The sequence below is a fragment of the Homo sapiens genome, chromosome 8 (genome assembly GCF_000001405.40).
Source record: "Homo sapiens chromosome 8, GRCh38.p14 Primary Assembly".
Classification (NCBI taxonomy): Eukaryota; Metazoa; Chordata; class Mammalia; order Primates; family Hominidae; genus Homo; species Homo sapiens.
In genome coordinates, this window is record NC_000008.11 from 22,053,854 (window position 1) to 22,080,931 (window position 27,078).

The following is a 27,078-nucleotide window of genomic DNA, read 5'->3' on the forward strand; positions in this document are numbered from 1 at the left end:
CTGGGGCCTGAGCCAACAGGCACCTGTTGTTCAGTGTTGCCAGCTTTCAAGGGGGAGAATCTCCCCTCTCAGACAAGCCATGGGGGAGTTCAGTTCAGCTGGCCTTGAGAGGTCAGAGGCCTTCCCAGGGGGAGGAGGCCGGAGGCAGAGTGAGTCTTCCCATGGGACAAGGACAGTGACGAGGTAGGGTCAGAGGATGGCATGGGTGAGAAGGGTCCCCTTGCCTCCCCTCTGAACGCCCACCACCAATACACACACACACACACACACAGACACACACACACAGCCCAGATCCCTGGCAGCAAAATGACCTTGGCAGCTACCACTCCTCAGGTCGACAGAGGGAGCCCTCACTCTGCAGTCCCCTTGGGTCCAGGCCTGGCTGGGCTGAGCACTCTTCCTGCCCAAGGTGGCCCGCCCGCCCCACCCATGGAGGGACATTCCGATAGAATGTGAGACTCAGGCATGGTGGGGGACAGTGGGAATGGGGCCTTGAGGAATTGGAAGAGAGCTGTCCCTTGCTCTGAGTTTTCTCAGGTGGAATGAGAGAGGGTTTGGGACCAGGTGAAGGTGCTCACAGAGACGGCAGAGGTGTGGGGCCCGCAGCCGCGTGCCCAGTGCAGCCAGCGCCCAGGGGCCTCTGAACCCTGCCGGAGCAACCCCTCTGGCCCTTCAGCACAAGGACTGTCCCTGCCTTGCTGCCTGTCATTGTCCCGAGCTCCACACTGGGCTTCCTGGAGTGGGGACTCTCCCCAGTGCTGCATACTCTTCAAGACTGGCCTGCTCTCCAGCCCTGAATTAGGGTTCTCCTGGGGTCACCCCTAAAGCCAATTCTAGAGCCTTATGAAAGGAAGTGGGGGGATGGGGTACTTGGTGGGGTTCACTGGGCACCCTAGCTCCTGAAGCTGTCCCCTAACCCCCAGCCCCAGCACTGAGGACCCACCCTCAGGCCCCCTCCCTCCATCTCTGAGGAAGAGGCAGCGGGAGGCACAGCTTCCTCCTCCCCCCCTCCCTGCTGCCGCGGCTGAGCCGGGCCTGAGCTGCCGGCAGGTTGTCTTGGCAACAGGAGGTGGAGAGGAGATGCGCCGAGGGATGGAGGTGTATGTCACCGAGGAGGCTGCTGCGCTCCTGCCCCACGCCCTGGGCCCTTGAAGGTACCGAGCACCCTCCCCTCCTTCTCCCCTCCGCCCTTTCCCCTTGACTCCCCCTACTCTGCCCTACATGCACTGGCTTCAATAGGAGGAGGCACCCCTCCTCCCAGGCCCAGCGATTCTACCCATTCCTCATCACCCACCTCGTTCCAGGCCCCTGGCCACAGCTGTCCTTCCTGGCATCAGCTCATTCCAACTCTACCTCTGGGGACCCTTGCACCAGAAGACAGCTCTCCTGGGGTGGGGCCTGGTGGGGGAGGGGCAATACAGGGGAGGAACCCAGGTCGGGGTGCGGCGGGGATCAGGAATTCTAAAGGGCTGAGGTGTCAAAGCCCCAAGTACCTGGTCCGCTGGAGGGACCGAGAGAGATCATCTAGGGCTGGAGTGGGGCTGGGGCTTCCCCTCTGTCTCTCAGACTCTGATTAGAGGGAAGTAAGGGTGGGGTTGAAGGTACAGAAAGCCGAGAGGCTGGGCTGAGGCCGGGCTGGTTGTGGAGCGATGGCTGGAGTGGCTCCTCCTCCAAGGCTGTGCCCCTTTCTGCCACATTGAAGGTATGCCCCCTCCCACATCACTCTCCTGGCCTTTTTCTCTGCAGTTCCATGGATCTGATGCTTCATCCCCCACCCCCAGGTTTTCTCTACCTTCACAGCCACCCCCGCCTGGCTGCAGCAGCTCAGCCTGTGTTCTGTCTCCCTTCTCAGCCACCTGCCTCCTTCCTTCCTCCCTTCTCTCTGGAGCCCATCCCTCAGGTTACTGTCCTCTCTGTCCCCACCAGCCAGATACTTTCTGTCCCCTCCTGGCCTCTTCCCTCAAGCCCCTCCCCCTGTGCTTCTCCATTCAGACACCCCAGAGCCCCCTCCCCAGATTCTAGATTTCCCCAACAACAGCTGATACCATCAGCTGACCGGCTGGGGGCAGGGTTGCCAGGGCAACGGTGAGGGCTGCCTAGGTAGGCAAGTCTGCGGTGTGGAGGTGGAGAGGACATTGGGGCCAGGGCGAGGGTCGAGGGCAAGGCTTGTTGTCCTTCCCCATCCTGCCCAGGGGGCCCGAAAGGCCAATGAGAGGCTCCTGGGGTGGTTGAGGCTTTGCTAGAGACAGGGAAGGCACATGCCTGTAAATTCTGTGCTGGGACCCAGGGGTTACCAGGCAGGAAGCTCCTTTTTCATGAAGCCACCCTAGGGAGAGATGGGGTCCTTCTCTCTCTCTGCTGCATCCCATTGGAGTTCCCAGGGGATTCAGGTTACTGAGGGGCCAGCTCAAGTCTCAGTACTGAGGACCTGGTTGCATCCCTCCATTCTACCCTCCCAGGAGAGAGCTCATCCTTGGGTAACCAATTCTGGCCTGTGCCTGCACCCCCACCTCAAGAGGCTGGGCCCCAGAGGCCTCAGTTGCTGCTGTCAGATGGTGGGGTGGTCATGAATAGGGTAGGAGGTGCAGGTGCCTGGAGAAAGCAGGCATTGTCCGCCTGGGTCATCAGTAGCCCCCTCCCTCGACCCACCGCCCACAGCAACTTGAACTCTGGCTGTTTAGGAGGAGGCTGAGGGGCTCTGGGTGCGTGTGGGTGTGTGTGTGCGTGTGAGTGCTGCAGACTGCGGTGTGGGAAAGGGAGAGGACAGTGCTGGCTGATTCTGCTTTGTCATGACGCTGGGTTAATGCTCCTCTTGTTTGAAATGGATTGAGCTGCAGCGCTGGTGGAAGAGCGCGCACATCCACACACACACCCTTGCCAGCCACACGCTATCAGCTGGAAGTGGGGAGGGCGCGGGGAGGGCGTGGGGGAGCCAGCAGCCCGCCCGCCCTCCCGCCCCCAGACGAGGACTCCCCAGCACCGGGGGATCCAGGCGGCCGTGCGTTGCAGAGAAGCAGGGTGGGGGCAAGGAGGGTGGGGGCCCAGAGGGGAGATCAGACCGCTCAGCCGAGACCAGCTCCCCTCCTTCGCCAGCTCCCACCCCGCCCACCCACCCTAAGCCGGCATTTTTCCTGTTATTTGTGCTCCGGGGAAGCGCCGCGGGGTTCCTGGAAGAGACACCTATTACCTAGGCTCCTGGGGGAAGTGACAGCCCGTGGATCTGGCCTACGCCTCTCGGGCCTCTGTGGCCTCAGAGCGTCTGGGCCACACTGTCTGGGAAGAGGTAGGTGGCAGGGTCTCCGCCTCTCCTCCCCTCTGTGGGCACTCTGGGCCACAGCGCTTGCTGGCGAGCCAGGCTTTGGGTGGCAGCAGGGTATCTGGGGGGAGCCCACTGTGGGCCCTGTTCAGTGGGAGGATGGGCCGGCCCCTGGGACCAGCTGGGCCTGATCTAATGGAACCTTCTGATCTGGGGAAGAGGGCCTGGGGTGTTCTCATCCCAAGGATGAGAACTGCTCCCAGCCCAATCCCCTCTTTGCCAGCATCTCTGCCTGGCCTACCTAGCTGAGCAGGCCAGCAATGGAAGGGATGGACTGTGGGGGCACGGGGTGGGCAGGGGAGCATTCCCTCTCTGCTGAATACTGGCCCGCTGGCCTCCCCAAAACCACTCCACATGCTCTGGGGGTTGGAGCAGTACATTTAGGGGCCTGAGGCTGTTTGTTTGGAGCCTGCTTTTTAGGGGGAGTGGGAGGAGAGCCTGCCCCCAGCCAGTGGCTGGCCAGGCTGGGGTGGGGCTGAGTGAAGAGTGAGGCTGTGGCAGGGCGCAGCTGCAAGCCCAAGCCCAGTACTCCCCCTGTGCCCGCCGCTGGGGTGCTTGAAGGGGCCAGGGCTGAGCAGACATGCAGCCCCCACAGGGTTCTGGGGCTCCCCCTCCCTAGCTCTGTCCCTCAGGGCCTAGCAGGTCCAGCCCCCTTTCTTGGGCAGACACACCCAGTGTGTCCCTTCCAGGGACCAGTTGCCTGGTTGTGAGAGTCAGGGGAGCAGGGACAGGTCCAAGACAAGGAAGGCAGTTGGGCTGTGGGAATGGGGAGCCCAGGGAAGGCCTCCAGAGCTGGGTAAGTGGAGGGCTCTGTGTATGTTGCTGTACACGTGCACTACTCTGGGATGGATGCCAGGGAGAGGACCGGTGGGTGGGTGTGAGCGGGTGTTGGCAGCACCATGTGTCACAGTGAGGGGGCCTCGATGGGAGAGTGGGGGCATGAGCTGGCACACAGGGCTTCGGAGTCTCCCCGCGTGCATGCGTCCTGCAACGGTTTCAGCGCGGGCGCTTCTGCCTGTGCCCACCTGTCCATCTTGTGTCCGTGCTGCCGGCCTCTCTGTGGTCAGGCGTTAGACTCCTGGGTGAGGTTGTCCACCCGTGGGTGGATGTCTGCAGAATCCCTCTCCTAGAGCTCCTGGGTGTTGTGGGACTGGAACAGGGAGGCCCTGGGATCCAGAAAGCTGAATTGAGGCTGCATCTCCCCCAGCTCTGCCAGTCCCACTTGTACAACAGGACCAGCTATAAATGGAGGGGAAGCAGTCCGCCTGAGGGGGCTGCAGGATGCAGAAAGCAGAAAGCGGGGTCTCTTCAGAGGGTGGGTGGAGAGGGCACATAGAAACCAAACCAGAGAGAGACCTAGGAGAAGATGGCTGCACAGATGCGTCTCTGGGTGGGCTAGAGAGGCAGGAGGGGGCACCTGGGCCCGGTTTTGTTGTTATTGAGAGAACAAGGGAGGGCAGGCCTTGAGCAGGGGGACTCTGGGCTCCCCACCCACCCAGGCCTGGTCCTTTATCCGAGTATGAGAGGGTGCCCTGTAGTGCTGGGTTAGGGGAACCCTCATCCCAGCAGACACAACGGTAAAAAACATTGGAGTAGGGGAGAGGGAGAAAGTGGGAGAAGAGGAGGGAGTCCCCAGGCTCTGCCAGCCTTAGGACAGACTTGGAGTTCAGGCTTCGCCTAAGTAAGGGACACCTCTGATGAGCCACTGGCCCAGAGCAGGCCTCAGCCTCCTGGTGTCCTTTTCCAGTGGCGGGGGGGTGCGGGGAGCAAGGTGCCCTACCCCACCCACATCACACGCATGCACAGCACCCATGGGAGCGCCTGGCCCCTGCCCTGCAGCGCCGCACTGCTCCACCCTCCCTGCCCCTCCCCACCCAGGATGCTGTTTTGGGAACTGGTGACCTAGCTGGATTCTGCCTTTATTTCTGGCATTGAATTGTTGCCACAGTAACTGCGGGGGTGGGGCTGGGTAGGGGAGAGGGTGAAAGGGAAAGAGGGAGGGAGGGAGAAAAGATGAAGAAAGCCAAGAAAAGGGACCAGAAGAGAAAGCAGAAAGACAGGAGGAAGAAAGGGAGAGAGGGCCAGGCAGTCGCACTGTGAACAGAACAGGAGAAGGCGAAGCGGGGCAAAGTTCCCTGCCCACCGACGCCAGCCTGCTTGGATGACTTGCCTCGTTTCATAATTCACTTACTGTCTGCACCAGCCGGCCTCCAGCCTGGCTGGACCCTGCTGCCTGTGTGGCCCGGAGCCAGAGGCCCCCACACTCCCAGCTGCTCTTCTACAGATGCCATCAACGAGCAGGACTCTGGGTGGCTCCACTGTCTAAGGTTAGCACGTGGGACCCCCAAGTCCCACATTTTGATTGAACTGGGATCTTTGGTACTCATTGAAAAGAGCACTTGGCTTTGGCCTCAGGCAGGCCGGGGTAGGGATTCTGGCTTGGCTTCTATTTGGGGGGCCTTCGGCAAGTTCACCTCTCAGCTTCATTTTTGCTCATCTCTAAATGAGGAGAATGTCGTTTTGTGTGAGGTTTAGAGACGATGTATGAAAGTCCCAAGTATACAGGGGCTGCCACCAAGCAGGTAGTGGTTGGCTGGAAACAGGAGCACAGCTAGACCAGGGGCCCTCCACCCCGAAGTTGCCATTCTGCCTGCGGAGGCTTCATTTCTAAAAGTCCAGGGGAGCCACAGTCTGGATCAGTTTCTGCCTGGAAGAAGAGCGCGCCAGGATGAGTGGGCACAAACTCGGAGGGCCCAGTGGGCGGGTCTTATCACCCACATCCTGGGGAGCTGTGGAGAGGAGAGGGTGGTGGGTGAGGTGGGGCTGGGCTGGTGGCTCAGATAAGGCAGGGACACACAGCTGGGGGAGGGTGGGGCTGAGATGGAGGGCGAGCGGCTGGCTGGCGTCCGACCAGGGCCAGGGGCAGCTGAGCTGTCCCTTCCGTCACCTGGACCTGCCTTCCTCTGTGGTGCTCTCTCTTCCTCCCTCCCTCCCCTCTTCCTGCTGCAGCTCGCCCTTTCTATCTCTTTGTGCACGGAGGTCGCTGGGACCTTGGGGATGCAGGCACAGACAGGCGGGGTGCATGGATGGGAGAGGGGTCTGGATGGGAGGAGGTGGAGTGAGCTGGCACTTGACCTGCGAGAAATGAGCTTTGATGGAAAGGGCTACTTGTGGGTGGAGTAGGCAGGGTGTGATTTGAGAGAAGCCAAGGAAACTCTCTCTCTCTTTCTCTCTTTCTGTCTCGCTCTCTCTCTCTCTCTCTCCCCCTCACACATGCGCACGCACACACACATATACACACACTCTTCTCCACCCCCATTTTCCCGGCTGGCCTTCTGACAGCTTAAAATTTAACCAGTACAAACATTATGCCTTAAGGCTAGGCCCACGTTTACGTGCAAATGCCCCACAAGGGGTAAGACAAAATTTCTGCCTCTGTGGAAATAATTTATCAACCAACATGCTCTCTAACAAATGGCAGGGGGTGGCACCAGGGTGCAGGGCCCTGGCTGACCCCAGGAAGCAGACCCAGATGCTAAAGCGCAAGACCCAGCAGTGGGGTTGTGGGCAGGAAGGGACTGGAGACAGAGCAGAGGTGAGAGGCCAGAGGCTTAGTGACTCACACCAGCTTTGCCTGGGTAGTATCCTGGTGAATGGTTTTAGAAATCAGACAGACCTGAGCTTAGATTCCACACAATACTGTGTCCTTGACCAACTACTTAACTTGTTCAAGTCTCAACTTCTTCATGTGCAAACGAGGTACTCGCCAATCCAAGCCAACCCACAAGATTGGAATGTAAGGGTTAAATTGAAACAAAGATGGGCTGGGCAGGGGCTCACACCTATGATCCCAACATTTTGGGAGGCAGAGGTGGGAGGATCACTTGAGCCCAGGAATTCGACACCAGGTTGGGCAACATAGGGAGACCCCATCTTTACAAAAAAAAAAAAAATTTGTTTTGAATTAGCCGGGTGTTGTGGAGTACTCCTGTAGTCCCAGCTACTCGGGAGACTGAGGCAGGAGAATGGGTTGGGCCTGGGAGGTCAAGGCTGCAGTGAGCTATGATCATGCCACAGTGCTCCAGCCTTGGTAACAGAGTGAGACCCTGTCTCAAAAAAAAAAAAAAAAAGAAAGAAAGAAAGAAAGAAAAAATGTGAACTGCCCAGCACAGTGCCAGCTGTAACACAGACGTTCTATAAATGGCAGCTGTTCATATGACTGTGACCATCAGGATTTTGAATCATGTTTCTGAGTGCCTGTGCCTCTGGCACGGTATTTGTGCACGTGTGAGTATGGGGATATATGACCACATACTCCTGAGACATGGCTTACCCTGGGCCACTCACCTTTCACCTCTCTGAGTAGCCACCACTCTGACAGATAGCCACTTTCACACTCTGTGCCCCTCCCCCCGGTGGTGTTTCAGGAAGATTCCAGGGCCTCCCCGAGGCTCCAGAACACACTGAAGTTATCCAGTCTCCCTCCTGCCCCTCTCTGTGTGCAGCTGCACATGCTCCTCAGAGTGACCCCTCCAAACCTCTGACTCACCTGTAAGATCTGCAGAGAACCTTAATTCTCATTTTTTTTTTTTTTTTTTTTTGGAGACAGAATCTCACTCTGTTGCCCAGGCTGGAGTGCAGTGGTGTAATCATAGCCCACTACAGCCTCAAATCCCTGGGCTCAAGTGATCCTCCTGCCTCAGCCTCCCAAGTAGCTGGGACCACAGATGTGCACCACCATGCCCGGATAATTCTTCATTTTTTAAAAAGTAAAGACAGGGCTCACTATATTTCCCAGGCAGACCTCAAACTCCTGGCCTCAAGTGATCCTCCTGCCTTGGCCCCCGAAGTGTTGGGATTACAGGCATAAGCCTCTGTACCTGGCCACCATCTCTCACTTTTGCTGGGAAAATGGAAGCCCTGTATGGTTGTTACCCAACTTCTTTCCCTGTCCTCTCCTTTCCAGGGAGTGCAGCAGTGACATGATCATAGCTCACTGCAGCCTTGACCTCCTAGGATCAACCCATCCTCCTGCCTCAGCCTCCAAGTAGCTGGGACTATAGGCGTACTTCACGACACCCAGCTAATTAAAAAAAAAAAAATTCCTTTGTAGAGATAGGGTCTCTCTATGTTGCCCAGGCTGGTGTCGAATTCCTGGGCTCAAGTGATTCTCCCACCTCTGCGTCCCAAAGTGTTGGGGTTATAGGCATAAGCCACTGCCCAGCTCATCTTTGTTTCCGGGGAGCCTTTCTTCCCAAAGCCAGTCTTGTACTTGGCTGTGAACTTGATCCCTTCCCTCCTGCTGCCGTCTTGCTCCACCCACCTAGTGCCCACTGCCCCCTGCAGCCTCAGTCTTTCCTGTCTACCGTTCTCTCTCTGCTGTCTGCAAACACATTAAAGGCCTTAGGCCAATCTTATCTCCTCCAAAACGACCCTGCCTTTCTATCACACTTCTTGGAAGGGCCATTCCCCCTGGCTGTACCACCTGGCCAGCACCCCCATCACCCCCCCAATCCCTAACCACGAGGCCACTATGGCCTGACATTCGAGCTGGAGGAAAAGCACTTCTCCTCACCTTCTCCATGGTGACACTTGGCTTCCATGATGTTCTACTCTCTCAGCCCCTCCCTCTATCCCTCCCTCCCTCCCATTCTTTCTCTCAATATGTTTTGCACATTTACTGTGTATCAGACCCTTTGCTGAAAACACAAAGACTCACTAGAGACTTCCTGGCCCCTGCGAGCTGCCATCTAGTTTTCCTCTCTCTGACTGTGCCATCTCTGGCTATTTCTTTTCAGTTCCCCAGGTTCCCAGGATGCTGTTTTTAACCTTCTTTCTCCCTTGGCAATCTCATGTTTGAACTACCACCTCTAGGCAAATGGCACCCACATCTCTGGTTCCAGCCTGGCCTCTTCCGTAGGTTCCTTTCCTCCTGGACATTCCTACCTGTTCCCCTGATGCACCCACTACAACCTCCACCTGTCAAAGTGACTTCCTCCTTTCCCCTTCTCCCAGTCTCTCAGACTTGCAGCCTCCTTCATGGGCACCCCAGATCCAGTCCTGCTTTGCACATTCTGCCTCTAGGGTTTCTCCCATTTGCCCTCTCTCCTTCCTGCCCAAGTCTAGATCTTTACAGTGCCCTGCTGAACTACTGCTGCAGCTTCCGGGCTGGTCTCCCGGCAGACCTGGATCGCCTCTGCCTGTCCAGTCTGGCTCTCAGGCTGCCACCAGATTCATTTTCCCAAAACACTGCTTGAATCATGTAACTTCTTTGCTTATAAAAAGTTTTTGAGCCTTCTGTGCCCCACTGTTGCCAACAGATTACGACCTAACCCTAGGCTGGGTTCAGGGCCTCCATGATCTGGCCTCCATGATTTGGCCTCAACCTCCTGTCCCAAATGCATCTCAACCTCATGACCTCTCCAATCCAGCCATATTTGCTGTTCCCCAGGCAGGCCCAGTGCATCCCCATGTCCCCACCTTATGCTGCTTTCTCTATCAGGAGCCCCTTTTTCCATTTTTGCATGATCTCAAACTGGGCATCTTTCAAGGCCGACCTCAGATACCTCTTCCTCCAATAAACCCTTTCCCCTCTCTTGACACCCCAGCAGGAGGAATCTCTCCTGTGACTTTTCATAGTGCTTTATACTTTCTTATATGGTACAGGTAATTTTCTGCTTTGCATGGGAGTTATCTAGATGCATGCCTTATTTCTGGAGGAGCAGCTTAGCTCCTCTGACTCATCTTTCTGTTCTCCATAAGACTTACCACAGAGTCCTGCTCTGTGTTCATTGCAGAATAGGTGCTCAGAAAGTATTTGTTGAATGGATGAATAAAACAATACATGACTAAGTAGATGGATGTATGGATTCAGGGATGGATGGATGGATGGAGAGATGGATGGATGCAGGGATGCAGGGACGGATGGATGGATGGAGAGATGGATGGATGGATAGATGCAGGAATGGATGGATGGATAGAAGGATGGATGGATGGATGGATAGATGAATGCAGGGATGGATAGATGGATGAACAGATACATGCATGCATGGATAAGCATTTGCCCCTAGGCCTAAGCCAAGTGTATAGCTAGTTTGGTATTAGCTATAAACAAAGTAAAGATAAGAGAGGAGAGGGAGCTAATAGCTCTTCAAGTATGTACCAGAATTTATTCTTCTTTTCGCTTAATTAAAAGCATTACAAAGCAAGTACTGAGAAGGCGAGAGGAGTATAAAGTTCCAGAATGGAGTCTTTCCATGGGCACCAACACCTTGTGTGACTCTGATGGCCAGAGGTTTTTTTTTTTTGAGACGGAGTCTCGCTCTGTCGCCCAGGCTGGAGTGCAGTGGGACAATCTCGGCTCACTGCAAGCTCCGCCTCCTGGGTTCATGCCATTCTCCTACCTCAGCCTCCTGAGTAGCTGGGACTACAGGCGCCCGCCACCACGCCTAGCTAATTTTTTGTATTTTTAGTAGAGACAGGGTTTCACTGTGTTAGCCAGGATGGTCTCAGTCTCCTGACCTTGTGATCTGCCCGCCTTGGCCTCCCAAAGTGCTGGGATTACAGGTGTGAGCCACCGCGCCCGGCCTGCCAGAGTCTTCTTTTGGAGATGCCATGGTTCTAGAATTCCAAACAGACTTGAGAATCTGGCAGGTTCTAGCTTTCCTCACTCTCACCTGATACTGAGTACTAGGTAGGCACTGTGAATCGTGCTGAAGACACAGTCATTTTCAGCTCCACGACTCTGGACAAATTTTTAACCTCTCTGAGCCCGTTTCCTTATCTGTAAATGGGTCTACCTTATAGGGTTGTTGGGGCAATGAAACAAAATAATCCTTTTAAAGGGCTTCTCAAAGTACCTAGCACATAATGAGCATTCAAAAAATGATAGCTCTTTGCCACCCACGCTGGAATACAGTGGTGTGATCACAGCTCACTGCAGCCTCGATATCATGGGCTCAAGTAATGCTCCCACCTCAGTCTCCAGAGTAGCTGAGATGACTACAGCTGCATATCACTACATCTGGCTAATTTTTACATTTTTGCTAGAGACGAGGTCTCCCTATGTTGCCCGGGCTGGCCTCGAACTCCTGACCTCAAGCCATCCTCTCTCCTTGGCCTCCCACATAGCTCTTATTGTTGTTTTCACCCTCCTGCGATTAGCAGTCTGTCTAGTTAGGGAGAAAACATGTTCCCTGTAATCAAGTGCTTAGCTACATTGGTCTGTTTTTAAGTACCACTGGAATTCAGAGAAGGGTTGATCCATGAGGACTAGACTAGTACAGGAGGCCTCCCAGAGGAGCGGCTTTGGGATAGCCCTGGAAGGCTGGAGGCACCTGAGAGGCAGAGAGGTGGACAGAGCAGTGGAAGGTGTCAAAAGCAGGAAGGTAGGGCTGGGCGCGGTGGCTCACGTCTGTAATCCCAGCACTTTGGGAGGCCGAGGCAGGCGGATCACTTGAGGTCAGGAGTTCAGGACCAGCCTGGCCGATATGGTGAAACCCCATCGCTACTGAAAATACAAAAATTAGCCAGGCACACGCCTGTAATTCCAGCTACTCGGGAGGCTGAGACAGGAGAATCGCTTGAACCTGGGAGGCGGAGGTTGCAGTGAACCGAGATGGCACCCCTGCGCTCCGGCCTGGGCGACAGAGCAAGACCTTTTTTTTTTTTTTTTTTTTTTTTTTTTAACGAGGCAGGGTCTTACTCTGTCACCCAGGCTGGAGTGCAGTGGTGCGATCTCGGCTCACTGCAGCCTCGATCTCCTGGGCTCAAGTGATCCTCTCACCTCAGCCTCCCGAGTAGCTGGGACTACAGGCATCCAGCACCACGCCTGGCTAATTTTTAAAATTTTTTCTGTAAAGACAAGGTTTCGCTATGTTGTCCATCCTAGTCTCGAACGCCTGGGTTCAAGCAATCCTCCTGCCTCAGCCTCGCAAAGTGCTGGGATTGCTGGCGTGAGCCACTTATGCCCGACCTATGCAGTGTTTTAAAAATAATTTTTTCCATGAAACAAAGTTTGTGTGAAGTTCTGACGTGTGGAATTTCCACCTGTGCGTCATGGTAGGCACTCACAAAGTTTCGGAGTGCGGATGTCAGGTTTTGGATGAGGGATGCAGAAGCCGGGCTGCTCAGGGAACCCTCTGTGTTAACCCTTCCTGGGCGAGCGCGGGGAGGTGGCGGCGGGGACAGTGCCCCGAGCGGGAGTGGGACCAGCGGCCGGGAGGGGAGGGCCTCAGCCAGGGCCGCAGGCCGGGCCGGGGCGGGGAGGGCAGGTGCGGCGGGGCCAGGCCGTGGAGGCCTCCGCCCGGGCAGCCGGCTGACCCCTGCCGTCATTTCCTTTGAAGCCAGAGAACAATGGCTCAAAAACAAGCGCAGCCCGTCCTTCGGTCGCCTCCCGTCCACGCGCGCGTTCTCCGGGGCTGAGCGGATGGGAAGCCTCAGCCGCAAGGGGCCCGGCTGCCTGGAGAGCGGCCGCCCGCGGAGGCCCCGCAGCCTAACGCCGCCCCGGCGCGGCCTCCCTCCCTTCTCCCCGCAGCCTGGAGAGTCACCGCCGAGGGATGAGGACGCGCCAGCCCGGGGGAACGCGCCAGCTGCTTTCGCGGCCCCAAGCGCGCAGCGCCCAGCAGCCGCGCCGAGCCTGACACGCTGTCCTCTCCCCTCGCGCACAGGGCTCTGCGAGTGACCCGGCGGGCGAGCTCCGTGCTGCATGGAACGGCTGCAGAAGGTGCGCGGCGCCGCCCCGGGCCGGGGCCGCCGAGGGCGGGTGGGGGCCGCTTGGGAGTCCAGGGCGCCACCTGGTGGCCACCCGCCGCGCAGCGCCGCGCAGCGCCCCGGGTCCCCCAGGCCTAGGGCCGCCCCCGCCCCGCTCCCGCACACACGCACGTGCCCACCCGCCCGCCTTCTCGCTCTCCCCAGCAACCACTTACCTCCCCCGGGAGCGTGAGCCCCTCCCGAGATTCCAGTGTGCCTGGCTCTCCCTCCAGCATCGTGGTGAGTACCCCTCTCGGCCACCAGCAACCCCTGGCTGGGAGGGGGGAGGGTGGGGGACCCCTGGCTGCTAGCGTGCCTTCCCGCAGAGCCTCCCCAGTGGTGGTCCCTCCGGTGCTGGCGGGCAGAGAGAACCCAGAAACCCAGAGAAGCTCCCATATCCCCCTTCCACTGGTCTGGCCTCGTTAATCCGAAGTGCTAGGCAAAGGACTATCATGTTTTAAGGTGACTAATTTCTTAAAATAATAGAATTGTTAACGTCTGCAATGGCGGTCCATTTTCTTGGTAATTGACGTAAGTCTAGCTAGCAGGGCCAGTGTCCTAGGCGGGGCTTTCGGCACAGCAGTTTCACGCGCACCTTTCCCTTCAGGCCAAGATGGACAATCAGGTGCTGGGCTACAAGGACCTGGCTGCCATCCCCAAGGACAAGGCCATCCTGGACATCGAGCGGCCCGACCTCATGATCTACGAGCCTCACTTCACTTATTCCCTCCTGGAACACGTGGAGCTGCCTCGCAGCCGCGAGGTGAGGGGGCTCCTCTTGGGCAGGACTCCGGGGGAGGCCCCCCCCAGCCACACTGGGTGGGGACCGATCCCTCCCGTGCTTCCTTTCCTGGAGGTCTGCCTCGGCAAAACAAGAGAGGGAACTGTGCGCAGGAACCAACCAGTCAGTCCATCCGGTGTTCAAGAGAGCAGGCAGAACGGTCTCTGGGCTGGCATGTGGCTCAGATGTAGAGGGGTGGACACCTTTGGATGGCAGCAACACACAAGAGGCACAAAGAGCAAGATTTGTGGAAACAGTTCAGAAGCATTGAGAGCGGGGGCTGAAAGTCTAGCGGAGGGACCCATGTGATGTTGTGGCCTCAGCTTACCCTCGTGTAAAATAGAGGTGACCTTTCTGCCCATCCACGCGCAAGGTAGTGAAGGTGCAGGAGACAGTGCAAGGCAGGTACTCATCAACTGCCTCCAAGACAGGGTAGCGTCGTGGCTGACCAGTGACAGGGGGCTAGATCATGGGGTGACTTCAGTACCTGCGTGATAAACCCCGACCTCATCCTTGGATGCTTCTTGGTCTTGTCTCTTCTATTTGTTTTGAGGCTCTGAGGACAGGACAAACTATTCCCCAACTGGTTCCCAGGCTAGGCACGGTGGCTCACACCTATAATCCCAGCACTTTTGGAGGCCAAGGTGGGAGGGTCACTTGAGGCCAGGAGTTTGAGACCAGTCCAGGCAACACAGGGAGACCCCCATCTCTACAAAAATTAGCAAGATGTGGTGCTGTGCACCTGTAGTTTCAGCTGCTCAGGAGGCTGAGGTGGGAGAATCCCTTGAGGCTGGGAAGGGGAGGCTGCAGTGAGCTGTGATAGAGCTACTGCATTTAGGCTGGGCAACAGAGTGAGACTATAAGAAAGAAAGATGAGAGAGGGATAGAGGAGAAAGAATAAGAGACAAGAGAGAAGAAAGTGGAGAGAGAGAGGAAGGAAAGAGGGAAGGAAGGGAGGAAGGCAGGGAAAGAAAGAAAAAGGACAAAGGAAGTAGGAAAAAATTAAAAGAAAGATGAGAGCGGGAGAGAGGAGAAAAGGGGAGGAGAGAGGAAGGAAGGAAGGAAGGAAGAAAAGAGTGCCCTTGGAGCCCCAGGAGTACTGAGCAAGGCTCGCGTGCTTCTCTGTGCCTCCTGTGGGAAGGCTGAGGACTTTGTGCAGGGAACTGTGGGAAGGATCCAAGAAAGCAGAGGTGGCCCAGAAGCTGGCCAGGAAAGTGTGCGGCTTTGGGTGGGGGATGAGGTGGCCTCTCTGGAATTCTAGGGAAGAGGCTGAATCTGCCCCTGTAGCTCTGACCAGCCCCCTCTCCATTCACAGCGCTCGCTGTCACCCAAATCCACATCCCCCCCACCATCCCCAGAGGTGAGTCTGCCCCACACCTGCAACTTGCCCTGCCCTGCCCTGAAGGGGATCCTAACTCCCTCCCCTCACACATCAGACCAAGCTCTGCAGAGCCCAGGGAGTGCCCGAATCAGCGGCCCCCTGGCTGTCACTGGCCAGCTCTGTGTCCATCATTCTGTCGGACCCAGGACCTCAACCCTTTCTCCCTGGGCCAGGCACCATCAGTAGGTCCTTGGAACTGTGCCACAACATTGCCCTGGGTTTGGAGGGATGCAGCCGGCCAGGATGGGAGGACAGAGAGGGTGGTGTGAGCTGATGGGGTGCATGTGTGGGTTGGAGGGGGTTAGGGGCCCTGGAGCCACACGCTTCTGCTCTGCAGGTGTGGGCGGACAGCCGGTCGCCTGGAATCATCTCTCAGGCCTCGGCCCCCAGAACCACTGGAACCCCCCGGACCAGCCTGCCCCATTTCCACCACCCTGGTAGGTCTTCTCGGCACGACCTCATTGTTTCCTAAGACTTTCTCCATCAGGAACCCCAATCCCCTTACGCTCAGTCCCCCACTCTCTGGGGTATATGCTCGCCTCAGGGCTAAGTAGGCCCCAGGAGGCCAGGACCCCTCCCAGAGATGGGAGACCTGTCACTTTTTCTCTCTCCCCCAGCCGGAAAAGTGTAAAATGTCCCAAACCCCTGAGGGGCAGTGCCAGGAATGCCAGCCCTGTCTTGGCTCTTGACAGGGGCCAGTGAGTTCCCCACCTTGTCCCGTTCCATCATCTCCATTCTCCTGGCCCCAGCCTCCCTGCCATCAGCATGTCCTCCTCCTCATCTGTTCTTCCTCCCACAGAGACCTCCCGCCCAGATTCCAACATCTACAAGAAGCCTCCCATCTATAAGCAGAGAGGTGAGGGCGCCCCTGGCTCACCAGAGCCTGCTTCCGGCTGCATGCTGGGAGGCCGTGCCCTGGGGCTGCGGGCTGGCTGGAGGGGGTCGGGAGGATAGCATGTCACAGCAGCACGTGTGCCCCGTGCTCAGCGTGTACACTGCTTTTACCTGCAGGACCTCACAGGTGTGAGGGGGGAGGGGTGAAGGTAGCCAAGTTGGCCTCGGGCAGGGCACACCTGGCTGACCCTGGCCTTTGTCTGCAGAGTCCGTGGGAGGCAGCCCTCAGACCAAGCACCTCATCGAGGATCTCATCATCGAGTCATCCAAGTTTCCTGCAGCCCAGCCCCCAGACCCCAACCAGCCAGCCAAAATCGAAACCGACTACTGGCCATGCCCCCCGTCTCTGGCTGTTGTGGGTAGGAGAGATGGGGAGAGTGGAATGGGTGGTCTGGGAAACTCCTGCACTCCCTCCCCTTGGCTCTTGCTGCAGTCCGTGAACCCACTCCCACCCCTGCCCTATGGTGTCCTCGTGGGCTTTTTCCTACCTTCAGGAGCCCCCAGGCTCCTTGCTCACTCACTCTCTGTGTTCCCATAGCGCTTGGTGTAAGTGGCCCTTTTATTGGTCATTCATTTGCTTTCCATTCATTTATTTCCTGACTCAACAGACATGTATCAAACTTCTGCATCCCAGGCTCTGTGAGGGGAGCACTGGGAAAGAGAAAGATAAATGATAGATGGTTTGGTCCCCAGCGAATTTTATTTTAATTTTTATTTTTATCCATTTATGGGGTACAGGTGTAATTGGTTACCTGCATAGATTGCACAGTGGTGAAGTCAGGGTTTTTATGATATTGTTATCTGAATACTGCACGTTGTATCCATTAAGCAATTTCCCATCACCACCCCCCACACCCTTCTGAGTTGCCATGGTCCATCATCCCACTCTCTACATCCATGCGTACACACTATTAAGCTCCCACTCATGAGTGAGAACATGCAGTCTTTGTCTTTCTGTGTCTTGTTTGACTTAAGACAATGGCCTCCAGTTCCATTCATGTTGCTGCACCCACTGAATTTCAGTCATGAGTGTGTGTATGTGTGTGTTGCCTACCCAGCTTCATGGCAAGGTGAGAAAATGTTACTCTTATTTTATTGTATTTTTATTTTATTTATTTATTTATTTATTTATTTATTTGAGATGGAGTCTCACTCTGTTGCCCCAGGCTGTAGTGCAGTGGCACAATCTTAGCTCACCACAACCGCCACATCCCGAGTTCAAGCATTTCTCCTGCCTCAGCCTCCTGAGTAGCTGGGATTACAGGCATGCACCACCACACCTGGCTAATTTTTTGTATTTTTAGTAGATATGGGTTTTCATTATGTTGGCCAGGCTGATCTCAAACTCCTGACCTCCAGTGATCCACCCGCCTGTCTCCCAAACTGCTGGGATTACAGGCGTGAGCCACCATGCCTGACTCTCTTTTTAAATGTTGAGACAGGAAGTCTTGCTCTATTGCCCAGGCTGGAGTGCAGTGGCGAGATCTCGGCTCACTGCAACTTCTACCACCTGAGTTCAAGCGATTTTCCTGTTTCAGCCTCGCAAGTAGCTAGGATTACAGGTGCCCACCACCACACCTGGCTAATTTTTATATTTATATTTATATTTATTTATTTATTTGGAGACAGAGTCTCGCTCTGTCACCCAGGCTGGAGTGCAGAGGCCTAATCTTGGTTCACTGCAAGCTCCGCCTCCCGGGCTCACGCTATTCTCCTGCCTCAGCCTCCTGAGTAGCTGGGACTACAGGCGCCCGCCACCACGCCCAGCTAATTTTTTTGTATTTTTAATAGAGATGGGGTTTCACCATGTTCGCCAGGATTGTCTCGATCTCCTGACCTCGTGATCCGCCTGCCTTGGCCTCCCAAAGTGCTGGGATTACAGGCGTGAGTCCCCGCGCCCGGCCTATTTTTATTTTTAAATATTTATTTGTTTATTAAGACAGGATCTCACTCTGTTGCCCAGGATGGAGTGCAGTGACTCCATCACAGTTCACTGTAGCCTCGAATTACTGGGCTCAAGCAATCCACCTAGTTCAGTGTCCCCAGCAGCTGGGACTACAGGCATGCCCTACCACCCCGGGCTAATTTTTTAAAATAATTTTCTATAGAGACTATATTACCCCAGGCTGTTCTCAAATTCCTGGGCTCAAGCGATCCTCCCACCTCAGCCTCCCAATGTGTTGAGATTACAGGCATGAGTCATCTACCGACCCTACTTTATTTTTTAAAAAAATTTTGTAGTGGCCTTATCAAGGTCCAGCCCAGAGCAGTGCACAGAGGCTGTGCCATGTAAACACACACTGACCCCATGGCGAGTGACTCCCTCCCCACCTTTGCTTGTGTCTCCTAGAGACAGAATGGAGGAAGCGGAAGGCGTCTCGGAGGGGAGCAGAGGAAGAGGAGGAGGAGGAAGATGACGACTCTGGAGAGGAGATGAAGGCTCTCAGGGAGCGTCAGAGAGAGGAACTCAGTAAGGTAGCATCTCACCACCCCCACCCTCCACCCCTGTGCAGGAGTCTCGCTCTGTTGCCCAGGCTGGCATGCAGTGGCATGATCTCAGATCACTGCAACCTCCGCTCCCAGGTTCAAGTGATTCTCCTGCCTCAACCTCTTGCATAGCTGGGATTACAGGCACGCCACCACCTCGCCCAGCTAATTTTTTTTTTTTTTTGTATTTTTAATAGAGATAAGGTTTTGCCGTGTTGGCCAGGCTGGTCTCGAACTCCTGACCTCAAGCGATCCGCCCACCTCGGCCTCCCAAAGTGCTTGAATTACAGGCGTGAGCCACTATGCCCAGCCCACCCTGTGTGTCTTTCTGGGGACAGAAGTTCTGGCTCTGTAGCTAGTCGAAGGGGTTCCTACCCGAAAAGCATGCTTTTTGGAACATGTTGGGGAGCCGCTTCTTGCCAAGACCCCAGGATTTTGCTTTTGAAGGGACACCTGGACTTTATGCTGCTTTCTGGGGGACACTACTTGATATAAGGGTCAAAAGCACAGAAAAGGGTGGTCCCATCAGAGCTGGGAGCTAGCAGCCTGAGTGATCCATGGGAGGAGAGAAAAGGAGAGCATGGGCTACAGGCCTCCAGGGGAGGAGGGAGAACCATGGAAAGACCATTGACAGTGACATGGGCCTAGGCTCTGAGCAGGGTGACCTGGGACAAGGACAGGGAGGCCGCCGTGGTAGAGTTCTACCAAGCAGCGCTGACTCCTGGCTTTCAAGGGTGGCCAAACCCATTGTGGCCATGTGTCAGCCACGAACAAGAGGCTCTGTGAGCTCCAGGGCACAAACCAGCCACTTGGGAAATGTCCGCAGTCCTGCCTGCAGCATGGCCCAACTCTAGACCTTTTAGAGATAAGAAATGAGTATTGGCCCAGCACAGTGGCTCACACCTGTAATCCCAACACTTAGGGAGGCCGAGGCAGGAGGATCACTTGAGCCCAGGATTTTGAGACAAGGCTAGGCAACATGGTGAAACCCCATCTGTATATAAAAAAAAAACAATTAGCTAGCTGGGTGTGGTGGTGCATGCCTGTGGTCCCAGCTCCTCAGGAGGCTGAGGAGGTTGGATTGCTTGAGCCCAGGAGGTCAAGGTTGCAGTGAGCCATGTTTGTGCCACTGAACTCCAGCCTGGGTGACAGAGTGAGACCCTGTCTCAAAAAAAAAAAAAAAAAAAAAAGAAAGAAAAAAAAAAAGAGAAAAAAGAAACATTCAAGTGTCTAAGTCTTGGCTCCATCTTCCTTTCTCCCTCCTCAGGTTACTTCCAACTTGGGAAAGATGATCTTGAAAGAAGAGATGGAAAAGTCATTGCCGATCCGAAGGAAAACCCGCTCTCTGCCTGACCGGACACCCTTCCATACCTGTGAGTGCTGTGGAGGGGGCTCAGAGTCACCTGGCCAGAGATGGAGGCCTGACTCTGTGCATCTGTTGACTTGTGACACATACAGGATGCAATCCCTGACCCAAAGCACGGCTGCTCTCTTGGGAGCAAGAATCCCAGTCATGGAACAATGTCAGATGATAAATGAGAGAATCGGCTAAAATAGAATTCAGCAAGTTTGGTTTAATTTAACAACCATTTATTGAGCGTTTACCATGTGCTAGGCACTGGGCATATAAGCAGGGAAAAAATCTAGTCTTGTCCTCTGGTAGCTTGCTGTTGGCGGGGAAACTGTCATGGAACGTGGGATTTCGATGCAGTGTGGCCGGTATTGTGATCAAGGTGCGCGGGGTGCTTTGGGAGCACAGCAACAGGGCCTGGGAGGCCAAACTGAGGGGTTTTGTTGTGGTTGTTTGTTGTTTGTTTGTTTGTTTTATTGAGACAGGGCCTTGCTCTGTTGCCCAGGCTGGAATACAGTGGTGCACTCTCAGCTCACTGCAAACTCCACCTCTCAGGCTCAAGCAATCCTCCTACCTCAGCCTTCTGAGTAGCTGGGATTAAAGGTGTGCGTCACCATGCCTGGCCAATTTTTAAAATTTTCTGTAGTGACAAGGTCTCACAATGTTGCCCAGACTGGGCTCGAACTCCTGGACTCAAGCAATCATCCCGCCTTGGCCTCCCAAACTGTTGGGATTATAGGTGTGAATCACCGCGTCCAGCTTAAACTGAGTCTTGAAGGCTGAGACCAAGCAAGCCAGAAAAAGTGAGTGGGAGAGCGCATTGCAGACATTGGGAATGGTGTGGGAGCGAAATTGGGAACATGAAACATCTGGCTGGCTGAGCCTCCAGGAGTCTGGAATTACAGAGTACAGGGTACACTGTGGGGCAGTGGGCAGTGAGACCAAGAGATGGGGAGCGGGGCAGGCTTTGAATGGCGTGGCCCACTATCCAGCGCACTACCCTGGGCTTCCTCAGAGCTTGGCGGCTGGAGAGGAGAGGAAGACCTGAAAACCCAGCAATGAAAGCTGCAAAGCCTCTTAAAGCCTAAGAGGGGTCCCGGCATGGTGGCTCACACCTGTTGTCCTAGCACTTTGGGAGGCCGAGGCGGGCGGATCACAAGGTCAGGAGTTCAAGACCAGCCTGACCAATATGGTAAAACCCCGTCTCTCCTAAAAATACAAAAATTAGCCAGGCATGGTGGCGCATGTCTGTAATCCCAGCTACTCAGGAGGCCGAGGCAGGAGAATTGCTTGAACCCAGGAGGTGGAGGTTGCAGTGAGTCGAGATGGAGCCACTGCACTCCAGCCTAGGGAACAGCGTGAGACTCTGTCTCAAAAAAAAAAAAAAGAAAAAAGCCTAAGAGGAAACCACATAGTGTCACTTCTTCATTGTAGCTGCCAGAGCCAGTCACTGGCCACCTAGACTCAAGGGGAGGGGAGCTAGACCCTCCTCCTCCCCCTCCCCCTTCTTCTTCTTCTTTCTTCTTTTTTCTTTCTTCTTTCTTCTTCTTCTTCTGGCAGGGTCTTGCTCTGTTGCCCAGGCTGGAGTGCAGTGGCACCATTTTGGCTGACTGCAACCTCTATCTTCTGGGCTTGAATGATCCTCCTGCCTCGGCCTCCTGAGTAGCTGGGATTACAGGTGCATGCCACCATGCCCAGCTAAATTTTTTTTTTTTTTTTTTTTTTTAGACAGAGTCTCACTGTCACCCAGGCTGGAGTGCAATGGTGTGATCTTGGCTCACTGCAACCACTGCCTCCCAGGTTCAAGCAATTCTCCTGCCTCAGCCTCCCGAGTACCTGGGACTACAGGCACACACCACCATGCCCAGCTAATTTTTGTATTTTTATTAGAGACGGGGTTTCGCCATGTTGGCCAGGCTGCTCTCAAATTCCTGACCTCAGGTGATCCACCTGCCTTGGCCTCCCAAAGTGCTGGGATTGCAGGCGTGAGCCGCTGCGCCCAGCCAAGACTCCACTTCTTGATGACAGGTACCACAAGGTCTCATTGCAGAAAGCATGAAAGATGGGAGGCAACAGTGCAGGCCATCTTTGGAAATAATCTACCACACTCTCCAATAGACTGGATAAGGGCTAAAAAACGATGTGGGTCCAGAGAAGAGGGAATGGATTTGAGAACATATAGACAATTGAATCCGCTGGATCGAATCCAGTGGCTGATTGGACGTGGGAGGTGCAAGAGAGAGAAGCTGAGGTTTTTGTCTTGGGTGCTGGGTGATGACCAACTTGGAACTGAGATAATAAGAGAGGCGGATTTTCAGGGAAAGATGAGAGACTGGTTTTGGACATGTGGGGTTTGAAGTGCCCCATGTACAGCACTGTGGGTGGAAGGTGCATCTGGCAGAGTTGGGAGCTTGAGGGTCTTCAGCTTGCTCATATGTGGCAGGAAAATGGTGAGGAGAAAGTAAGATTGTACAGAGAGAGGAGGGAAGGGTGCCTAGGGCTTCCATTAAAGGTCCAGTCGGGGCTCATGCCTGTAATCCCAGCACTTTGGAAGGCTGAGGTGAGAGGACTGCTTCAAGTCAGGAGTTCAAGATCAGTCTGGGCAACGTAGTGAGACACTGTCTCTATAAAAAATAGAAAAATTAGTTGGGAGTGGTGGCATGTGCCTGTAGTCTCAGCTAGTTGGGTGGCTAAGATGGGAGCTATGATTGCGCCACTGCAGTCTAACCTGGGTGACAGAGTGGGATCCTGTCTCTAATTGTATATATATATGTATATATGTGTGTGTGTATATATATATGTCACTATATATATATATACACGATATATATAGTGACATATATACACATATATACAGTGACATATATATATAGTGACATATATATACACACTATTTTGGGTGACACCTGGGTGTCCTATTTTTTCTTTTTTGGGTGACATATATATACACACACACACACATATACATATATATATATTAGAGGGCTGGTTTGAGGACTGGTTGAGATCGAGCCCCAGAATGTGTGGGAGGCTGGCCTTCAAAGGCCTCCCCTGTGGGATGGGAACTTGGATCCAGGGGCAGGCCAGATGAGAAGCCGAGGTTGTCTGCTGAGCGTTAGAGGGTGAGACTTGGTGAGAATGGCGAGGGTTTGGAACTGCCGTGGAGGGGAGGAGAAACGTGCGAGGCTTGGCCTTTGTAGTGATGCTCATCTACATTGTGTGGGCTGTATGTCCACAGCTGGGGGCAGGATGGGAGCTGTTGGGTTGACCCTGGGTTAGCGTTTTTAAGGATAGGTGCTGAGGGGCCAGGCTGCACCATGGAGGAGCTGATAAAAGTAGTTGCTGTGCCCAGCCACAGAGCCGAAACTGAGAAGGTAGTGACAGAAGGTGGGAGGTGGGGGAGGTAGGAGGGGAATGAAGAAACTGGAGTTCTCCATGAGGTTGCTGGGCTGGGTGGTGGGGATGGAGCTGAGCCAAAGCCACAAAGTGAATGGTCCAAGCTCACAGTTTCTAGGCAGCGTGGTGCAGCTGATGACAAGATCCTGGGCATGGCTCTTTGAAAGGGTTATCTCATGTGGAGCAGAGGTGAAAACCACTGGAACTGGGGAATTCAAGGTTAACATGTGGTTAGGACATCTGAGTGTTCCCCAGAGCTCTCAGGATGCTGTCTCTGTGGGTGGGAAGAGCTACAGAGGTTTATTAGAGAATGTGGAATAAAGAGTTAAGGCCTAAAGAATGATGTGGAGAGAGGATGCGTGAAGGTTGGATTCAGTGTCAGTGTTCTGCCAGAATCTTCTGTTCAGCCCAGATTAGCTCTTTAACTTCCATTTTGGCCTCGTGAAGTTGAAATAGCCAGATGCCTACCTCTGGATCATCTTTGGCGTCCCTGAACTTGTGGGTGATTAATGATCACATGACTGCATAGGTTACTGTCATATTTAAACAACCTGAATTCTAGAATCATGAACAGGCATGTCATTCTGATTAAATGGTGACACTGGAATAGTCGCTCTGGAACACACGTAAGCATTTTATAATAGAAGTAATTTGGAGGGGAAAATCTTCGTGCAGGGTTTGAAGGTTGAAATTCTATCAGTTGGTTGAATAAATGTGTACTTATTATTCTAAGAGTGAAATGCTTCAATAGTGAATGGTGATTGTGAAAGCTATTTTCTAAATAAAAATAAGTGTTAGGGGTAAAAATGAGGTTTTGTTCTCAATAATCGAATGCTTCCAAGCAACAGATTTCATAAGAGTATTTTAAGAAGAGGCTGGGTGCAGTGGCTCACACCCGTAATCCCAGCAATTTGGGAGGCTGAGGCAGGTGGATCACCTGAAGTCAGGAGCTCAAGACCAGCATGGCCAACATGGTGAAACCCTGTCTCTAACAAAAATACAAAAATTAGCTGGGCATGGTGGCGCGTGCCTGTAATCCCAGCTACTCAGGAGGCTGAGGCAGGAGAATCACCTGAGCCTGGGAGGCAGAGGTTGTGGTGAGCCAAGACTGTACCACTGCACTCCAGCCTAGGCAACAGAGTGAGACTCTGTATCAAAAAACAAAAAATATATATATACATATATACATATATTCATATATATGTATATATGTGAATATATACATATATATGTATATATTAAGATAGTTCCTCATAGTTTTGAATCTATGGAGGTTAACTATTTATACAAAAATGCTTGTGGAAACAGTTGGTATAAATGCCAGCCATTTCCAGCAATTGGAGGTGAAGGCATTTTGAGATCACCTCAAGCTAAGGATCTTAGGTACAAAGTTATTTCCAGGAAAACATATTACTGGAAACAAATTTTCCTGAATTATAATCTGTAGTACTTCAGAATTTAGAGATCCTATTAAATGTGCAAGTTGAGACTGAGGTCCAGTAATGCTGATGTGAAGTTGTTGACTGCTGGTACAATCCCCAGTGACAGTGCTTAGAACATGACTCTTTCTGTAGTATAATGTCAGACTGTTTTTTTTTTTTTTTTGAGATGGAGTCTCGCTCTATCACCCAGGCTGGAGTGCAGTGGCGTGATCTCCGCTCACTGCAAGGTCCGCCTCCCAGGTTCACGCCATTCTCCTGCCTCAGCCTCCCAAGTAGCTGGGACTACAGGTGCCTGCTACCACGCCCGGCTAATTTGTTTTGTATTTTTAGTCGAGACGGGGTTTCACCATGTTAGCCAGGATGGTCTTGATTTCTTGACCTCGTGATCCACCCACCTCGGCCTCCCAGAATGCTGGGATCACAGGTGTGAGCCACTGTGCCCAGCCTAATGTCAGACTTTTAAAATTTGATTACTAGGCCAAGCATAGTGGCTCACACCTATAATCTCAGCACTTTGGGAAGCCAAGGTGGGAGGATTGCTTGAGCCCAGGAGTTCAAGACCAGCCTGGGTACCATAGTGAGGCCTGGTTTCTACAAAAAATAAAAATAAATAAATAAATAAATAAATATATATATATATATATATATATTAGCTGGGTTTGATGGCGCATGCCCCTAGTCCCAGCTACTGAGGAGGCTGAGATGGGGAGAATCACTTGAGCCTGGGAGGTTGAGGCTACAGAAAGCTATAATCACACCACTGCACTTCAGCCTGGATGACACACGGAGACCCCATCTCAAAAATAAATAAATAAACAAACAAACAAATATGAATACTAGCTGAGCAGGTGGCCCATGCCTGTAGCTCCAGTACTTGGGAGGCAAAGGCAGGAGGATCACTTAAGTCCAGGAGTTCAGGTTCAGCCTGGGCAACATAGTGAGACCCTATCTCTATTAAAAATTTTTGGCCGGGCACGGTGTATTTTTTAATAGAGACAGGGTTTCTCCATGTTGGTTAGGCTGGTCTTGAACTCCCAACCTCAGGTGATCTGTCCACCTTGGCCTCCCAAAGTGCTGGGATTACAGGCATGAGCCACCACTCCTGGCCAAAAAAAAAATTTTTTTTTTTTAGATTTGATTACTAACATTGTTAATAAAATTATAATAATGTAATTATTGTGATTCGATTTTAGTTTTCTTTGTGTATCCCAGAGGTTCATTTTATGATGTGAGCCTTGGCTCTGGCTGACTCAATTTTCACATCAGGCATTGGGCCCAGTTGTATATTTGGGCCACTTCTAGCTGGAGAGAAGAGGGATGGTGGTAGAGACAGCTGAGAACCACCAGCACTGTATTGCTTGCTGAAGGTGACCAGTAGGAGCTGGGAGCTAGCAGAAGCCCACCAGGTTCCCCCCAGCGTGATCCCTTCCTGCCCTGCCCCAGCTGTGGAAGGCCAGTGAGGTTGCTGTCTCAGGAAGGGCTGTCAGGGCCAAAGGGACTGAACTCAGGACCTTTTGCTGTCTTCCAGCCTTGCACCAGGGAACGTCTAAATCTTCCTCTCTCCCCGCCTATGGCAGGACCACCCTGAGCCGGGTAAGGTCTCAGGACCAGAGATATAGACTACGTGGGAGGAACGTGCATGTGGGGTGCTGAGGGACTGAGCCACTTGGGCACCCTCAGGGAGCGGGGAGACCCCCAAAGTGAAGGGGACCAAAGGTGAATATCCCCGACTGCCTCTGATTCCTTTGTGTCCTTTCTAGCTACAGTCCACAGAGTTCAGCCCATCAGGGAGTGAGACTGGAAGCCCAGGTGAGAAGTGGGGCCTGGTGCCGGGGTCTGGAGAAGGGGCTTACACAGGTCCCTGGGCAGCCGGGGTCTGGGCTGTGGGCAGGGGTCTGGTGAGGTCAGGCGTGTTGGCCTGCTGACCTCAGAGCTGCATCTGACCCATGCCCCTTCTCTCCCGCAGGCCTGCAGGTGAGTGCCTCCTGGAGGGGAACAGGCAGAGCAGCAGAAGCTGGGTCCTGGCACCCGAAAGTGTCAGGGGAAGGGGGGTGTGGGGCCACAGAGTTGCCTGGTGAAGAAGAAGAAGCCGGGGTAAGGCTGGGAAGGTCTCCCTGCCCCGCTCTGGCTCACTGCGGCTTTGGTCTCCCCAGAACGGAGAGGGCCAGAGGGGGAGGATGGACCGGGGGAACTCCCTGCCCTGTGTGCTGGAGCAGAAGGTGAGGGGCAGGGGACACAAGCGCCTGTAGCGGGGCGGGAGGCTGGGGAGATGCCAGGCAA

The 27,078-nt window shown here is 54.0% G+C and overlaps 1 protein-coding gene across 70 annotated transcripts in view, besides 3 other annotated features; it reads left to right on the forward strand.

Moving 5' to 3' along the window:
* DMTN (dematin actin binding protein) overlaps window positions 1-27,078 on the forward strand; it is a 33,595-nt gene that overhangs the window by 4,923 nt on the left and 1,594 nt on the right. For 2 of the 70 annotated variants that reach the window (NM_001387727.1, NM_001387732.1), the window contains exons 2-14: window positions 12,852-13,040; window positions 13,232-13,306; window positions 13,674-13,829; window positions 15,163-15,207; window positions 15,566-15,665; window positions 16,028-16,084; window positions 16,329-16,481; window positions 18,473-18,597; window positions 19,877-19,982; window positions 26,327-26,391; window positions 26,559-26,607; window positions 26,765-26,772; window positions 26,952-27,017. In NM_001387727.1, coding sequence (NP_001374656.1) covers window positions 13,023-13,040; window positions 13,232-13,306; window positions 13,674-13,829; window positions 15,163-15,207; window positions 15,566-15,665; window positions 16,028-16,084; window positions 16,329-16,481; window positions 18,473-18,597; window positions 19,877-19,982; window positions 26,327-26,391; window positions 26,559-26,607; window positions 26,765-26,772; window positions 26,952-27,017 — 1,023 coding nt within the window. In that variant the 5' untranslated portion in view covers window positions 12,852-13,022. Of the gene's footprint in view, window positions 1-923; window positions 1,155-2,960; window positions 3,284-4,010; window positions 4,113-5,226; window positions 5,644-12,662; window positions 13,041-13,231; window positions 13,307-13,673; window positions 13,830-15,162; window positions 15,208-15,565; window positions 15,666-16,027; window positions 16,085-16,328; window positions 16,482-18,472; window positions 18,598-19,876; window positions 19,983-26,326; window positions 26,392-26,558; window positions 26,608-26,764; window positions 26,773-26,951; window positions 27,018-27,078 lie in introns of those variants that run through there. The other 68 variants (NM_001323382.2, NM_001387730.1, NM_001387726.1 and 65 more) reach the window with 65 other exon arrangements.
* Window positions 4,079-5,040: an enhancer, noted in NCBI's record as "H3K4me1 hESC enhancer chr8:21915443-21916404 (GRCh37/hg19 assembly coordinates)". NCBI's record gives its function as "activates a minimal SCP1, AML or CMV promoter by ChIP-STARR-seq in naive H9 embryonic stem cells {active_cell/tissue: H9 hESC(naive)}" and the evidence as "EXISTENCE:reporter gene assay evidence [ECO:0000049][PMID:30033119]".
* Window positions 6,004-6,965: an enhancer, noted in NCBI's record as "H3K4me1 hESC enhancer chr8:21917368-21918329 (GRCh37/hg19 assembly coordinates)". NCBI's record gives its function as "activates a minimal SCP1, AML or CMV promoter by ChIP-STARR-seq in naive H9 embryonic stem cells {active_cell/tissue: H9 hESC(naive)}" and the evidence as "EXISTENCE:reporter gene assay evidence [ECO:0000049][PMID:30033119]".
* Window positions 12,787-13,246: a silencer, noted in NCBI's record as "silent region_18975". NCBI's record gives its function as "represses an Ori minimal core promoter by ATAC-STARR-seq in GM12878 lymphoblastoid cells {active_cell/tissue: GM12878}" and the evidence as "EXISTENCE:reporter gene assay evidence [ECO:0000049][PMID:35858748]".